Here is a 16,274-nt window from a genome sequence, read left to right on the forward strand (position 1 = left end):
TTAAAAAGTTCTCAAACCTTACTGAACATAAGAGAGTTCATACTGGAGGAAAAACCTACAAATGTGAAGAATGTGACAAAATTTTAACCTGCTCCTCAACCCTTATTAAACACAAGATAAATCATTTTGGAAATAGATCCTACAATTGCAAAGAATGTGTAAAAGCCTTTAAATGTTTCTCAGACCTTACTAATTCTAAGAGAATTCTCAGAACTTGCTAAAAATAAAATAATTTATACTGGAGAGAAACCATCATACAAATGTGAAGAATGTCACAGAGCCTATGGGGGGTTCTCAGACCTTAATAAACATAAGATAACTCATACTGAAGAGAAACCCTACATATATAACTAATGTGGAGAAGCTTTTAAGTGGTTCTCAGCCGTTAGTAAACATAAGAGAATTTATACTGGAGGGAAACCCTACACCTGTAGAAAAAAAAAAGTCAAAGCCTTTACCTGCTTTTCAATCCTTATTAACCACAAGATAATTCATATAGAAGACAGCCCTTACAAATCTGAAGCATGTGGCAAAACCTTTAAGTGCTTTTCAGACTTTGCTAATCATAAGAGAATTCACACTGCAGGAAAAGCCTACAAATGTGAAGAATGTGGTGAAACATTAAGTTCATTCTCACACTTCATTAGAAATAATAGAACTCATAGTAGAGAGAAGCTTCACAAGTGTTAAAAATGTGGAAAAGCTTTTAAAGCATCCTGATTTTATGTCCAACATCAGAGACTTAATACTGAACAAATGCCACATAAAGGTAATGACTGTTGAAGAAGATTTAACTTAACATCTTGCAGCATCTCTAAGAACTCGCTTTATACTCAGTGCTTTTGGGTTGGGTTTGTCTATTGCATTTTACTATTATGGAATGCCTTCTTTCTCTTAAAAAAAAACTACGTGGATTTTAAGTTTGCTTTGCTAGAAACTAGGATTGCATCACCTCCTTTTTTCTGTTTTCCATCTATTTGGTAGATTTCTCTTTTTTCTTTATATTTAGCTTAATTGAGATGAGTGTCTAGATTACAGAATACCATTAGATCTTGATTCTTTACTCAACTTGCCACACTGTTTTTTAATTGGGGCATTTAGCCCATTTACAGTTATGGTTAGTATTCATATGTGTTGATTTGATTCTGCCACCACGATTTTAGCTGGCTATTTTGCACATTTGTTTTGTGGTCGCTTTAGAGTGTCAGCAGTTTATTTACTTTGGTGTGTTTTTGAAGTGACTAATTACAGGGTTTTTTTTTATTTAGTGTTTTCTTCAGAAGCCCTTGTAAGACAGGTCTTGGGTAACAGATTTCTTCAGCGTTTGCTTATGTGAATAGGATCATATTAATTTTTTTCACTTCTGAAGCTCCCTTTGGTTGGATATAAGCTTACTTTGGTCTCGTGGGAAGCTGCAGTATGGGGAAGAAACATGTGGACTGGTGGAGTCATAGGGGCTGTATTGCTGAAGCTCTTCAGGGATCAGGCATGGCCCACCAGTACCGATGCTATGGTATGGGATCCCAGGGTAACTGAGACTGCCCTGTAAGAACCTGTGGCCAGAATAGGTCCCTATAAGAGGCCAGGAGACCAAGGGGTATTCAATTGGAACAATTTCTTCTGATTTGCAAGACCATCCTGCAAAAATTAGGTCCAACAATTTTTCTAGGGCTAAAGCCTCTTATGGGAGAAAGTTGAACCTAGAGAAGTGGCCATCACTGGCAACATATTACTACAGATGCTCTTGCACCAACACTCTTGACACCACATGAGGTGGCTTGCTGCCCCTTCTTTGCTTGGCTTCTAGGGGCTGCATCTCAGAGAGATGTAGGTCAGCAATCCCTTACTACAGACAGCCCAGGATGGAGGATCTCTGCTTTTGGCCAAGTTTGGTGTTTACTGTCTTGTGAGGAGCAATAGGTAGCTTGTGGAACCCATGGAGGGTGGACTGGCCCTCACTCTTTGGGTAAAATGCAGCTTGTTTGAGGTGTAAATAAGGTACCTGGGTTTTGAATTTTTCATTAGTCTGAGAAGCATAGCAAGGACAGTTCTAACACAGAGATAGTGGCAGAAATATTTTCAGTTACTCCTAGAGGCTGTGTCCAGGAAGTTGCTAGGTTGCTGCAGGCTCAATATCCCTGCCAATGATTGGCTAATGGCCGAGACCTGGAGAGTCTGCACAGTGAGAATGTGTGAGAACAGGTGCTCATGTAACAGTATGGCCACTTTTCTAAAGGGCTGCTGCAGTATGTTTTGTGTCCACTGCAGTTTCTGGTCACCTCAGGTTTTACAGAATCTGAAGCTGTCCCACTGAATGCTGAAAAACAGCAACAAAGGCAGTATGCCCCATTCTCTGGAAGCTCCATCCCAGGCAGGTATAGACCTGTTTCCAGCCCAAAAGCACCTGAAGGAGATAGCTGGAACCCCTCTTCAAATGTCTTACCCAGTGAGGAAAACATAATTCGGGACCCACTTAAGATAGCAGTCTAGCCACATTTTTGTAGGAGAGCTCTGCTGTGCAGAGGTATCACTTTCATCCCTTGTTTATTTGGATTCTCCAAAGCCAGAAAGCTGGAACAGCTAAGTCACAAAAACAGCAAAAGTGGCAGCTCACTCTTCACTCTAGGAACTATACCCCGAAGAGGTTTCAAAATTCCATAAATCAAATAACACTGGTGGTGGTAGCTGGACACCCTGTTTGGGAAGTTCTTTTCAGTGAGGAGGAAGAGTTTGGGGACGTGCTTTACCAGGCAGACTGGTGGTGTCATTTTAGAGCACCTGTACGGTGCTATAGATCCTTGCTGCCCCAGTCAGCTTAGGCTTTTCAAAGCCTGAAGGCTGGGATGGCTATGTTGTTGAAACAGCAAAGATGGAGGTCCACTCCTGTTTCTGGTAGCTCCAATTCAGAGAGATACAGCGCTGCTGCCAATGATTGGCTGGAATTCTAAGCCAGTAGATCTTACTCTATGAGGCACTGTGGAAGTGGGTCCTACAGACTGTCACTGCTCAGGTCCCTGGATTCTGCCTATTTCCTATAGGTATGTATATGGGTATAACCTCCTGCTTTGCTGGCGTTGCAGCTACTTTTTCTGGGAATCCTGGAAAGCCAGAGTATCTGTGGCTCTGCAACACGCCAGTGCAGTTGCTATGCTGAGACCCCAAGTAGCTCTATGTGTTAGACTAAAGGCCTTGGTAAAGTAGGTTCCTCAGGGAGTCTCCCCATCTGAGGATTAAAAAGATGTGTGGGAGAATTGTAGGTTCCCAGGGTCACACATGCACTTACTGCTTTACTGGATGGGGAGGTTCTCTTGGCTCTATGTCTTTTCTGGGTGGCCCATTGTTCGGCCTTGCTCTACTCTCCACAAGTTGTTTATTTGATTATTCTGAAGGCAAATACCTGGATATTTCATTTGAAGGTGCTGTATTTATGCACGCCTTGCATTTTTCTCTGTGAGAACTACAGGGTCTAGCTGCTCCTAATCTGCAATGTTGGTCTCTTTCCTCTAAAAGAAACCTACTTTTTTATATGAAAATAATTTAAGCTGGGCACAGAGGCTCATGTGTGTAATCCCAGGATTTGGGGAGGTCAAGGTGGATAGATCATGAGGTCAAGAAATCAAAACCATTCTGGCCAACATGGTGAAACCCCATATCTACAAAAAACAAACAAAAACAAAACAAAACAAAAAAAACTTTTGAGCATGGTGGTGCACACCTGTAGTTCCAGGTACTCAGGAGTCTAAGGCAGGAGGATTGCTTGAATGCAGGAAGTGGAGGTTGCAGTGAGCCAAGATCACACACTGCAGTCCAGCATGGCAACAGGGTGAAACTTTCTCTCATAACAAACAAATAAAAATTTAATATTTTTTCAAAAGCAACTATTGATGGAATTTAAGTCTTATATTTGAAGCTGTGTGTTCATTTCTAGAATTTATGTGAAAGAGCATGGTCAATGGTCCCTGCACTAGATTTAAGAGAGGTTCTTCTATATTAGATTGACAGATTTATATATTTTCATATGGAAGATTAAGAAAACTGAAATCTAAGATACATGAAGAAATTCTAAGTGGAAAGTCTACTTAGTGGTTGGGTATCATAAGTGCAGTATCATAAGTGACAGGATGATAGGAGTGTGAAAAGTAACCAGAATAATATTCTGCATAGTAAGAGAAACAATTTGGATTTTAGAAGGAAATTGCTTTACCATTTGCAGATTAAGATAATTAAAATACAGTGAATTTCAAAATGCCTTTTTAATGGCAATGTGTAAACTTAATTTTTTTAATTGAAGAAAATATTTGTGAATGTAATAATGCTACTTTACATTGAATTTTTATCTTGCCACTGATGTTACTTATCCCATTTTACCCATGGTTGTAGGTAACAGATGGTAACTATATTCTATAGAATTACACTGAAATAATATCTCTCATGATTCCTTTGTCAGTGGTCTTTAACTTAAAATAATTTGAAGAATATGGTTCCTACAATTTATATTTTTGTTTTTCTTGTAACTACAGATTATTGTGATGGTTGTTATGAAGATTTGGAATATAATAGACCTATATGCTTTAATTCTGAATTCTGAACAACTATTTGCAAAATTTTATCCTACTTCTTTTTTTTAACTGATGACTTCTCTGGTCTGCTAAACATATTCATACCTTTATTTTTTATTTAAATGGATGTAAATATACAGACAAATCACTGTAAAATAAACTTTGTATGTAACAGCTTTATAGAGAATACTCATATTTGTTTGTGATTGTGTACCTACTTTGAGAAGCAAAGAAAAATATTAGAATAAAACACATAATTTTACATGTCTTGATAACTTACCAGCAAACCGGAAACTTCAAAGATTTTGAAAGCAAATCTATTTTCTCTGCCTTGTATTAATCCCGTTTACCAAAAATGTTATTGCTCTTGTCTTAGAAACATCTTGTGCACATTCTCCTTTTTTTGTCTGTTTGCTTGTTGCTCACTATAGACATAATATATACATTTATTTTAGTCTAATTTCATAAAGCATTCCTTGTATAATTTTCTCAGAGATGATGAATGTGACTTTGATAAAATTTAATGATCTTCACAAAATAATTTTTACATGTAATTTCATGGTGTGTGTATTATTGTATGCTATTTATTTAGTACATTTTTTATTTTATTTCAATTTGAGAATGCTATTTAATCCAATTTTTATTTATTGTTCATTTTACATTATGAACTTGATATAATTGAGTTTATTAAACTTATTAGGCCAATTTATTCAAATTAATAGTTGAACATTTATTAAGTCATGAGGTCCTTTTGGCATATACATGAAGTAAACAAGATAATACTAGCTATATAATAGAAGCTACATAATTGGAAATAAATATTCTTCTTGAAATTAGCCAGTAGACTCAGATGAAAATAAAAATGTCTATAGTATGACATGAATTCTGCATATGAAGTGAACAAAATTGTACCACTGCTGCACAGTTGACTCTCACAATTGAAACAAATTATAGAGTTGGACATACTATAAAAACTAAGTTAAAATCTTGTAAAATTTTTAAATTGCATTTCTACCTTTAAACATCTACTGAGTGAGGTAGAGGGCATGTCTATTTAATCAAACCTGGAATGGCTAATACATGTCAATACTGTGCACCACAGGTATCAAAACCTAAAATTCCCGAAACCCTTTCCCTTTAGATTAGCAAAATATGATTTTAATCTCCCAACTCTATATTGTGTCTTAGACAAAATTACTAGGCCATTTTTTTTACATTTGATTCTGGATTTTTTTTTTTAATGGAGTCTTGCTCTGCCACCCACACTGGAGTACAGTGGTGTGATCTCAGTGCACTACAACCTCCACCTCCTGGGTTAAATTGATTCTTCTGCATCAGCCTCCTAAGTAGATGGGACTACATGTGCCCACTGCCATGCCTGGCTAATTTTTTTGTGTTTTTAGTAGAGACGGGGTTTCACCATTGTTAGACAAAATGGTTGATCTCCTGACCTTCTGATTTGCCCATCTCAGCCTCCCAAACTGCTGGGATTACACGTGTCAGCCACCACGCCAAGCCTTGATTCTAGATCTTGACACATCCTATCCTCAACTTAATTTCTCTGAGGATAGAAAAACTGTGTGATATGGAATAATAATACCAAACATTTGTTATAAACAAAGGATATTTTATTTCTGCCCTGCTGTCCTGGCCTCTTAGAATCATAGCTCTTCTTAGAAACTGGCAGAATCAGCCTTCTGTTCAGGGTAAATTTTGGGCAATTATGTGACATATGAAGGCTGGTTTCATTGCACCAGGTACTAAGAAAACCTGCTTCTGCCAGAAGTAAAATCCAGTAAGTTTTTTTTTTTTTTTAATATAAATTGGTGATTTTTTTTTATTATACTTTAAGTTTTAGGGTCCATGTGCACATTGTGCAGGTTAGTTACATATGTATACATATGCCATGCTGGTGCACTGCACCCACTAACTCGTCATCTAGCATTAGGTATATCTCCCAATGCTATCCCTCCCCCCTCCCCCCACCCCACCACAGTCCCCAGACTGTGATATTCCCCTTCCTGTGTCCATGTGATCTCATTGTTCAATTCCCACCTATGAGTGAGAATATGCGGTGTTTGGTTTTTTGTTCTTGAGATAGTTTACTGAGAATGATGATTTCCAATTTCACCCATGTCCCTACAAAGGACATGAACTCATCATTTTTAATGGCTGCATAGTATTCCATGGTGTATATGTGCCACATTTTCTTAATCCAGTCTATCATTGTTGGACATTTGGGTTGGTTCCAAGTCTTTGCTATTGTGAATAATGCTGCAATAAACATACGTGTGCATGTGTCTTTATAGCAGAATGATTTATAGTCCTTTGGGTATATACCCAGTAATGGGATGGCTGGGTCAAATGCTATTTCCAGTTCTAGATCCCTGAGGAATCGCCACACTGACTTCTACAATGGTTGAACTAGTTTACAGTCCCGCCAACAGTGTAAAAGTGTTCCTGTTTCTCCACATCCTCTCCAGCACCTGTTGTTTCCTGACTTTTTAATGATTGCCATTCTAACTGGTGTGAGATGATATCTCATTGTGGTTTTAATTTGCATTTCTCTGATGGCCAGTGATGATGAGCATTTTTTCATGTGTTTTTTGGCTGCATAAATGTTTTCTTTTGAGAAGTGTCTGTTCATGTCCTTCACCCACTTTTTGATGGGGTTGTTTGTTTTTTTCTTGTAAATTTGTTTTAGCTCATTGTAGATTCTGGATATTAGCCCTTTGTCAGATGAGTAGGTTGTGAAAATTTTCTCCCATTTTGTAGGTTGCCTGTTCACTCTGACAGTAGTTTCTTTTGCTGTGCAGAAGCTCTTTAGTTAAATTAGATCCCGTTTGTCAATTTTGTCTTTTGTTGCCATTGCTTTTGGTGTTTTAGACATGAAGTCCTTGCCTATGCCTATGTCCTGAAGGGTAAAGCCTAGGTTTTCTTCTAGGGTTTTTATGGTTTTAGGCCTAACGTTTAAGTCTTTAATCCATCTTGAATTGATTTTTGTATAAGGTGTAAGGAAGGGATCCAGTTTCAGCTTTCTACATATGGCTACCAGTTTTCCCAGCACCATTTATTAAATAGGGAATCCTTTCCCCATTGCTTGTTTTTCTCAGGTTTGTCAAAGATCAGATAGTTGTAGATATGCGGCGTTATTTCTGAGGGCTCTGTTCTGTTCCATTGATCTATATCTCTGTTTTGGTAACAGTACCATGCTGTTTTGGTTACTGTAGACTTGTAGTATAGTTTGAAGTCAGGTAGTGTGACGCCTCCAGCTTTGTTCTTTTGGTTTAGGATTGACTTGGCAATGTGGGCTCTTTTTTGGATCCATATGAACTTTAAAGTTTTTTTTTCCAATTCTGTGAAGAAAGGCATTGGTAGCTTGATGGGGATGGCATTGAATCTGTAACTGACCTTGGGCAGTATGGCCATTTACACGATATTAATTCTTCCTATCCATGAGCATGGAATGTTCTTCCATTTGTTTGTATCCTCTTTTATTTCCTTGAGCAGTGGTTTGTAGTTCTCCTTGAAGAGGTCATTCACATCCCTTGTAAGTTGGATTCCTAGGTTTTTTATTCTCTTTGAAGCAATTGTGAATGAGAGTTCACTCATGATTTGGCTCTCCGTTTGTTTGTTGTTGGTGTATAAGAATGCTTGTGTATTTTGTACATCGATTTTGTATCCTGAGACTTTGCTAAAGTTGCTTATCAGCTTAAGGAGATTTTGAGCTGAGACGATGGGGTTTTCTAGATATACAATCATGTCGTCTGCAAACAGGGACAATTTGACTTCCTCTTCTCCTAATTGAATACATTTTATTTCCTTCTCCTGCCTAATTGCCCTGGCCAGAACTTCCAACACTATGTTGAATAGGAGTGGTGAGAGAGGGCATCCCTGTCTTGTGCCAGTTTTCAAAGGGAATGCTTCCAGTTTTTGCCCATTCAGTATGATATTGGCTGTGGGTTTGTCATAGATAGCTCTTATTATTTTGAAATACGTCCCATCAATACCTAATTTATTGAGAGTTTTTAGCAGAAGGGTTGTTGAATTTTGTCAAGGGCTTTTACTGCATCTATTGAGAGAATCGTGTGGTTTTTGTCTTTGGCTCTGTTTATATGCTGGATTACATTTATTGATTTGCATATATTCAACCAGCCTTGCATCTCAGGAATGAAGCCCAGTTGATCATGGTGAATAAGCTTTTTGATGTGTTGCTGGATTCGTTTTGCCATTATTTTATTGAGGATTTTTGCATCAGTGTTCATCTAGGGTATTGGTCTAAAATTCTCTTTTTTTGTTGTGTCTCTGCCTGGCTTTGGTATCGGAATGACGCTGGCCTCGGGAAAAGAGTTAGGGAGGATTCCCTCTTTTTCTATTAATTGGAATAGTTTCAGAAGGAATGGTACCAGTTCCTCCTTGTACCTCTGGTAGAATTTGGCTGTGATTCCATCTGGTCCTGGACTCTTTTTGGTTGGTAAGCTATTGATTATTGCCACAATTTCAGATCCTGTTATTGGTCTATTCAGAGATTCAACTTCTTCCTGGTTTAGTCTTGGGAGAGTGTATGTGTCCAGGAATTTATCCATTTCTTCTAGATTTTCTAGTTTATTTGCATAGAGGTGTTTTTAGTATTCTCTGATGGTAGTTTGTATTTCTGTGGGATCGGTGGTGATATCCCCTTTATCATTTTTTATTGCATCTATTTGATTCTTCTCTCTTTTTTTCTTTATTAGTCTTGCTAGCGGTCTATCATTTTGTTGATCCTTTCAAAAAACCAGCTCCTGGATTCATTAATTTTTTGAAGGGTTTTTTGTGTCTCTATTTCCTTCAGTTCTGCTCTGATTTTAGTTATTTATTGCCTTCTGCTAGCTTTTGACTGTGTTTGCTCTTGCTTTTCTAGTTCTTTTAATTGTGATGTTACGGTGTCAATTTTGGATCTTTCCTGCTTTCTCTTGTGGGCATTTAGTGCTATAAATTTCCCTCTACACACTGCTTTGAATGCGTCCCAGAGATTCTGGTATGTTGTGTCTTTGTTCTCGTTGGTTTCAAAGAACATCTTTATTTCTGCCTTCATTTCGTTATGTACCCAGTAGTCCTTCAGGAGCAGGTTGTTCAGTTTCCATGTAGTTGAGTGGTTTTGAGTGCGATTCTTAATCCTGAGTTCTAGTTTGATTGCACTGTGGTCTGAGACATAGTTTGTTATAATTTCTGTTCTTTTACATTTGCTGAGGAGAGCTTTACTTCCAAGTATGTGGTCAATTTTGGAATAAGTGTGGTTTGGTGCTGAAAAAAAATGTATATTCTGTTGATTTGGGGTGGAGAGTTCTGCAGATGTCTATTAGGTCCGCTTGGTGCAGAGCTGAGTTCAATTCCTGGGTATCCTTGTTAACCTTCTGTCTCTTTGATCTGTCTAATGTTGACAGTGGGGTGTTAAAGTCTCCCATTATTATTGTGTGGGAGTCTAAGTCTCTTTGTAGGTCACTCAGGACTTGCTTTATGAATCTTGGTGCTCCTGTATTGGGTGCATATATATTTAAGATAGTTAGCTCTTCTTGTTGAATTGATCCCTTTACCATTATGTAGTGGCCTTCTTTGTCTCTTTTGGTCTTTGTTGGTTTAACGTCTGTTTTATCAGAGACTAGGATTGCAACCCCTGCCTTTTTTTGTTTTCCATTTGCTTGGTAGATCTTCCTCCATCCTTTTATTTTGAGCCTATGTGTGTCTCTGCACGTGAGATGGGTTTCCTGAATACTGCACACTGATGGGTGTTGACTCTTTATCCAATTTGCCAGTCTGTGTCTTTTAATTGGAACATTTAGTCCATTTACTTTTAAAGTTAATATTGTTATGTGTGAATTTGATCCTGTCATTATGATGTTAGCTGGTTATTTTGCTCGTTAGTCGATACAGTTTCTTCCTAGTCTTGATGGTCTTTACATTTTGACATGATTTTCCAGTGGCTGGTTCTTGTTGTTCCTTTGAATGTTTAGCGCTTCCTTCAGGAGCTCTTTTAGGGCAGGTCTAGTGGTGACAAAATCTTTCAGCATTTGCTTGTCTGTAAAGTATTTTATTTCTCCTTCGCTTATGAAGCTTAGTTTGGCTGGATATGAAATTCTGGTTTGTAAATTCTTTTCTTTAAGAATGTTGAATATTGGCCCTCACTATCTTCTGGCTTGTAGGGTTTCTGCCGAGAGATCCACTCTTGGTCTGATGGGCTTCCCTTTGAGGGTAACCCGACCTTTCTCTCTGGCTGCCCTTAACATTTTTTCCTTTGTTTCAACTTTGGTGAATCTGACAATTATGTGTCTTGCTCTTCTTGAGGAGTATCTTTGTGGTGTTCTCTGTATTTCCTGAATCTGAACATTGGCCTGCCTTGCTAGATTGGGGAAGTTCTCCTGGATAATATCCTGCAGAGTGTTTTCCAGCTTGGTTCCATTCTCCCTGTCACTTTCAGGTACACCAATCAGACATAGATTTGGTCTTTTCATATAGTCGCATATTTCTTGGAGGCTTTGTTCATTTCTTTTTATTCTTTTTTCTCTAAACTTCCCTTCTCACTTCATTTCAGTCATTTCATCTTCCATCGCTGATACCCTTTCTTTCAGTTGATCGCACCGGCTCCTGAGGCTTCTGCATTCTTCATGTAGTTCTTGAGCCTTGGTTTTCAGCTCCATCAGCTCCTTTAAGCACTTCTCTGTATTGGTTATTCTAGTTATACATTCTCCTAATTTTTTTTCAAGTTTTCAACTTCTTTGCCTTTGGTTTGAATGTCCTCCTGTAGCTCAGATTAATTTGATCGTCTGAAGCCTTCTTCTCTCAGCTCGTCAAAGTCATTCTCCATCCAGCTTTGTTCCGTTGCTGGTGAGGAACTGCGTTCCTTTGGAGGAGGAGAGGCGCTCTGCTTTTTAGAGTTTCCAGTTTTTCTGTTCTGTTTTTTCCCCATCTTTGTGGTTTTATCTACTTTTGGTCTTTGATGATGGTGATGTACAGATGGGTTTTTGGTGTGGATGTCCTTTCTGTTTGTTAGTTTTCCTTCTAACAGACAGGACCCTCAGCTGCAGTTCTGTTGGAATACGCTGCCGTGTGAGGTGTCAGTGTGCCCCTGCTGGGGGGTGCCTCCCAGTTAGGCTGCTCAGGGGTCAGGGGTCAGGGACCCACTTGAGGAGGCAGTCTGCCCCTTCTCAGATCTCCAGCTGCTTGCTGGGAGAACCACTGCTCTCTTCAAAGCTGTCAGACAGGGACATTTAAGTCTGCAGAGGTTACTGCTGTCTTTTTGTTTGTCTGTGCCCTGCCCCCAGAGGTGGAGCCTACAGAGGCAGGCAGGCCTCCTTGAGCTGTGGTGGGCTCCACCCAGTTCGAGCTTCCCTGCTGCTTTGTTTACCTAAGCAAGCCTGGGCAATGTCGGGCGCCCCTCCTCCAGCCTTGCTGCCACCTTGCAGTTTGATCTCAGACTGCTGTGCTAGCAATCAGCAAGACTCCGTGGGCATAGGACCCTCTGAGCCAGGTGTGGGATATAATCTCGTGGTGTGCCGTTTCTTAAGCCGGTCAGAAAAGAGCAGTATTCTGGTGGGAGTAACCCGAGTTTTCAGGTGCGTCCATCACCCCTTTCTTTGACTCAGAAAGAGAACTCCCTGACCCCTTGTACTTCCCAAGTGAGGCAATGCCTGGCCCTGCTTCGGCTTGCACATGGTGCGCGCACCCACTGACCTGCGCCCACTGTCTGGCACTCCCTAGTGAGATGAACTGGGTACCTCAGATGGAAATGCAGAAATCACCATCTTCTGCTTCACTCACCCTGGGAGCTGTAGACCGGAGCTGTTCCTATTCGGCCATCTTGGCTCCTCCAGTGATTTTTAAAATAATATAAATGATAGGTTTCTTCTGTTTAATTGTAATGATTCTTTCAAAGAGATGTTTGGCTTTATTTCTATAATGAAGCAAATTCTGAACATCTTATAATCTGTTCATTATCATATAGTAAATAATAAAGAACAAGTTAATGAATCTCAGTTTTTGTAAGTATTTTAGTGAATAAATTTAATCTCATTTCCATAATCTTTAAGTTTTACTACTGAAGACCAGAATAGACTTTTTTCTTCTTTTGGGAAACTATAAAAGCATGTTCATAATGTTACTTTCATAGATAATATGAATATCAACTGTCAAGTGTGTTGGTTTCTAAAATAAAATATTTTAGAATTGTATTACCAAACATATTCAATGAAATGTTTTAAAGTTGCCTATTTAAAAAATCTGCCAATTTTGAATTGCATATGCAGCTAAAATTTTCTTAAGATAGAGGATAAGATGTAAAATAATTCATACAAATAATATAAACTCAGTTTTCTGAAATTATTTACTTAAGAAATCTAATTACAGTTTAAATAAGTTGTGATCACCTATTAGCCTTTATGCAGCATATTATATTACTAAAATTTTGCATCTAAAATGGTAGCAATTAGAACAAAGTAGAGAAAATACAATAATTGGCATAAAAAATTTCAAGAAAATGAAATGTTTGTATGATGACCTAAATAAAGTAATATGAAGAATGAAAGGATAGTATTAGTTTTACACATTATTGGTCAAAAGTAAACCTGAGATATTGTGTAGAAAGTGCTATTAATTATATCTTTGAGACCGTCTTACTGATTTTGGCACTTAGAGAAGCTCCAGCACAGACCCAGCATTCCTTAGGCATTTTTTTCCAGGAGAACATTTAATAGAAATGAAGCAGAAGGTGACTTACACAAAGGTAAATGAATACTTGTCTCCTAGAGACCAGTGGGTGCAGCTTGCTAAAAGAGTAGACCTTTCCTGGAAGTCACGGAAGGGGCTATGGGCAAGCATCTTAGAATAGGGGCCTGGAGCTCCATGAAACACTCCTGCCAGCAGTGATCTCAGAGGGCCACGTGGTAGGTCAGCCTAGGTGCTCTGTCATGTTCCCGGTCCTTGAGTCCTTCCTCACCCACTAGGTATTTCCACAAAGAAATCAGGATGGCAACCACAAGTGCAGCCCCCCTAGAAGGAGATCAAGAGTGTCAAGGATCACATTCTTCTTGGAAAATTCAGTGATTTAGTAACTCGTCAATAAGCTGTAGCAGAATGTGCTGCTCTAACCCACAGAGATCACACTCTAGGAGGAAATTTGGGTGACACCTGCCTGAAGATGTGCATTGGAGGAAGGACGGACAGGTCACCTGGGACTTAGTGAGCAAGTGCCCCTAGCCAATCCGGGGAGACATGGGCTTGGCCAGAGCAGAAAGTAAGGGTGGCATACAGCAGACATGCTGAGCTGTCAGATGGGCACACAAGGGTAGGTATGAGTGGTCCCTGAGTGGGAGAACCCCCTCAAAGCCCTCAACTCACCCAAGAGATCCCCCAGCCTTTTGAACCACAAGCTGTACCTGGAACTCCAGGGTGCGCACTGGGTAGTGGCCTGGTAAAACTTGGGTGAGCAGCCAGTCACTGAGTGACTTCCATTGCCCATGTCTCTAATGAGAAAATTGAATCCCCAAAGTCACAAGCCAGGAGCAGCAAAAGCACTAGGCTGAGGCATCACATTTTTTCTTCACTGGCACCCATAATCCTCAGAACCCCTGGGCTTCCCTTGAGGAAAAATATTCCTCTTCATTGTGAGTGTAGGCCCAAATCAGAGAACTGGCTTGACTGTTCAACTGCACTCAGGCAGTGTGTGTACCATTCCAAGCAGGTCCCATTTACTTCGTGCCTCCAGTTATTTCATCTGCAACATATCACTTGTAACAGCTCTTTCTCTACCCTCCAAATTCTATGGTTTTTGAAATTCCTCTGAAGACCACATGAGCCAAGCATCAAGGATCATTGTTCTTTAGGCTACTCAGGCTATTCCAGGAAGAGAGATCTCTCAAACTACGTTGACACTTAAGAGTCATGTATAGATAGTACCAGATCTAGGAGGAGGGCTGTCAAATATCCAGATTCTTTTCTGGTCTCCATTCCAAAAGATATGTTAAAATGACAAGGAAAATAAGACACAAACCTGACATTTCTCCCTTTAAAAGGGCAGCCTCAGCCTGGCCACACTGAACCAAAATTTCAGGCTCTGGTTCACCTTGACTCACATTGGAAAATACTTGAACTGGGACCCCAGAATGTCCAGTGAAAATCTTGAGAATGGGCACCTCAGCAGCCTGAACACACCTGTAACAGGAACAAACCCTACCAAGTAAGAAGCCATCTCATTTACTTAGAAAACCATACCAGCAATGTGCACACACATCAGGCTTTTTAGATAAACTCCTGTTAATCCAAGGATTCAAGAAAAAGGAAAAAAAAAGTTTGAATCTAGATTCTCAGGAAGAAGAACCTCCACTGCCTGGACCAGCCTGTATGATGGATGCAACTGACAGTGGTAACTTGTCTTGCACATACCTGAAGACTGATCTTATATAAAAAATGTTTCTGAGTGTTCAGAGTTTCAAGCTAAAAATCTACTAGTGGCCTGGCCAGCTGCAGTGGGTCAGGCCTGTACTCCCAGCAGTTTGGGAGGCCAAATCAGATGGATCATCTGAGGTCAGGAGTTCAAGAACCACCTTATCAACATGAAGAATCCTGGTCTCTACTAAAAATACAAAATTAGCCAGGTATCATGGCAAATGCTTGTCATCCTAGCTACTCAGAAGGCTGAGGCAGAGGAATCACTTGAACCTGTGAGGCGGAGGTTTCGGTGAGCTGAGATTGTGCAAACACCCTCCAGCCTGGGCAACAAGAGTGAAACTTCATTTCAAAAAAAAAAAAAAAAAAATCTAGTAGTGGCCAACCTGGAGATTACTCTTTATCTATGAGGAAAGTCTGAGCCTTTGCTCTCTCCCATGCTGTGGTATGGAGTAGGCCACACAGGGGACTGAGGCCCTTATTTTTTGTTAAATGAAGGACAACAGATAAAAGATTGTTCAGAAAAAATGTGCTTAATAAATATGCTATGCACACTGCATGCTTTTTCCAAGTGGACGTGGTTATCCTGCTAAGCCCACTGACACTGGACTTTCTCCCCTCTATGTAAGTCGCCAGTAAAACTCCATATCCTATTTACTGATTCTGAGTTTCTTCTTTGACATCGTGAACCTGCTGCCATTTACATGGGAGTCAAATTTGACACAACTTACCCCATAATGAGGAAGGATTTCAGATTCTTCTCAATGTGCTTCAAAGCTCAACAAGGCATCAGCTACAGAAGGATGCAGTTGTTCTCTTTACCACTATCACACAGGGCTCGTTTCCTTAGATGCACCTTCAGTGGAATACCAAGAAAGATGAACAAGAAACACGTCATGGTCAGAAGCAACATTAATGACCAAATAAGCAGTGACCACTTGTAAAGCAAAAGGGAGCATTTTGCTTTCTACTCTGGGCAGCCCTCAATGTCTGCCATCACTTTCTGGTTTCAGTAATGGTTTTTAAGCTCCATCGTGGCTCTGGAGAAACCTTAGGCACTAGGTGGTAAACACCTTCACTTAGTCCTGGAGCAACAAAGCTTTCTCTTGTCAAATATGACCTCTGTGATCATGAGCTACTAAGCCATCTAGACAATACACCACCAGAAAACCTATGAAAGGGAGATGAGTAGACATGAGGGAAACAATTTCCCACTTTTTTCAGTGGCAAGTTCAAACAACTGTGACAGTAGATCACAGAGCAAAAGAAAACAGCATAGTAGAACTCCTCATCATGTAA

At 39.7% G+C, this 16,274-nt stretch overlaps 1 long non-coding RNA gene and 2 pseudogenes across 1 annotated transcript; 2 read left to right on the plus strand and 1 right to left on the minus strand.

Moving 5' to 3' along the window:
- Positions 1–201: 201 nt before the first annotated feature.
- On the plus strand, positions 202–1,186 carry ZNF736P4Y (zinc finger protein 736 pseudogene 4, Y-linked; annotated as a pseudogene).
- TRIM60P12Y (tripartite motif containing 60 pseudogene 12, Y-linked) lies at positions 5,504–6,379 on the plus strand (annotated as a pseudogene).
- Positions 14,636–15,766, minus strand: TTTY17C (testis expressed transcript, Y-linked 17C). The gene is made up of 2 exons (NR_002179.1): positions 15,707–15,766; positions 14,636–14,741 (listed from the first exon to the last, which is right to left on the minus strand). It is a non-coding gene; the product is annotated as a testis expressed transcript, Y-linked 17C (long non-coding RNA).
- Between the last annotated feature and the right edge of the window lie 508 nt (positions 15,767–16,274).

The sequence above is a fragment of the Homo sapiens genome, chromosome Y (assembly GCF_000001405.40).
Source record: "Homo sapiens chromosome Y, GRCh38.p14 Primary Assembly".
Classification (NCBI taxonomy): Eukaryota; Metazoa; Chordata; class Mammalia; order Primates; family Hominidae; genus Homo; species Homo sapiens.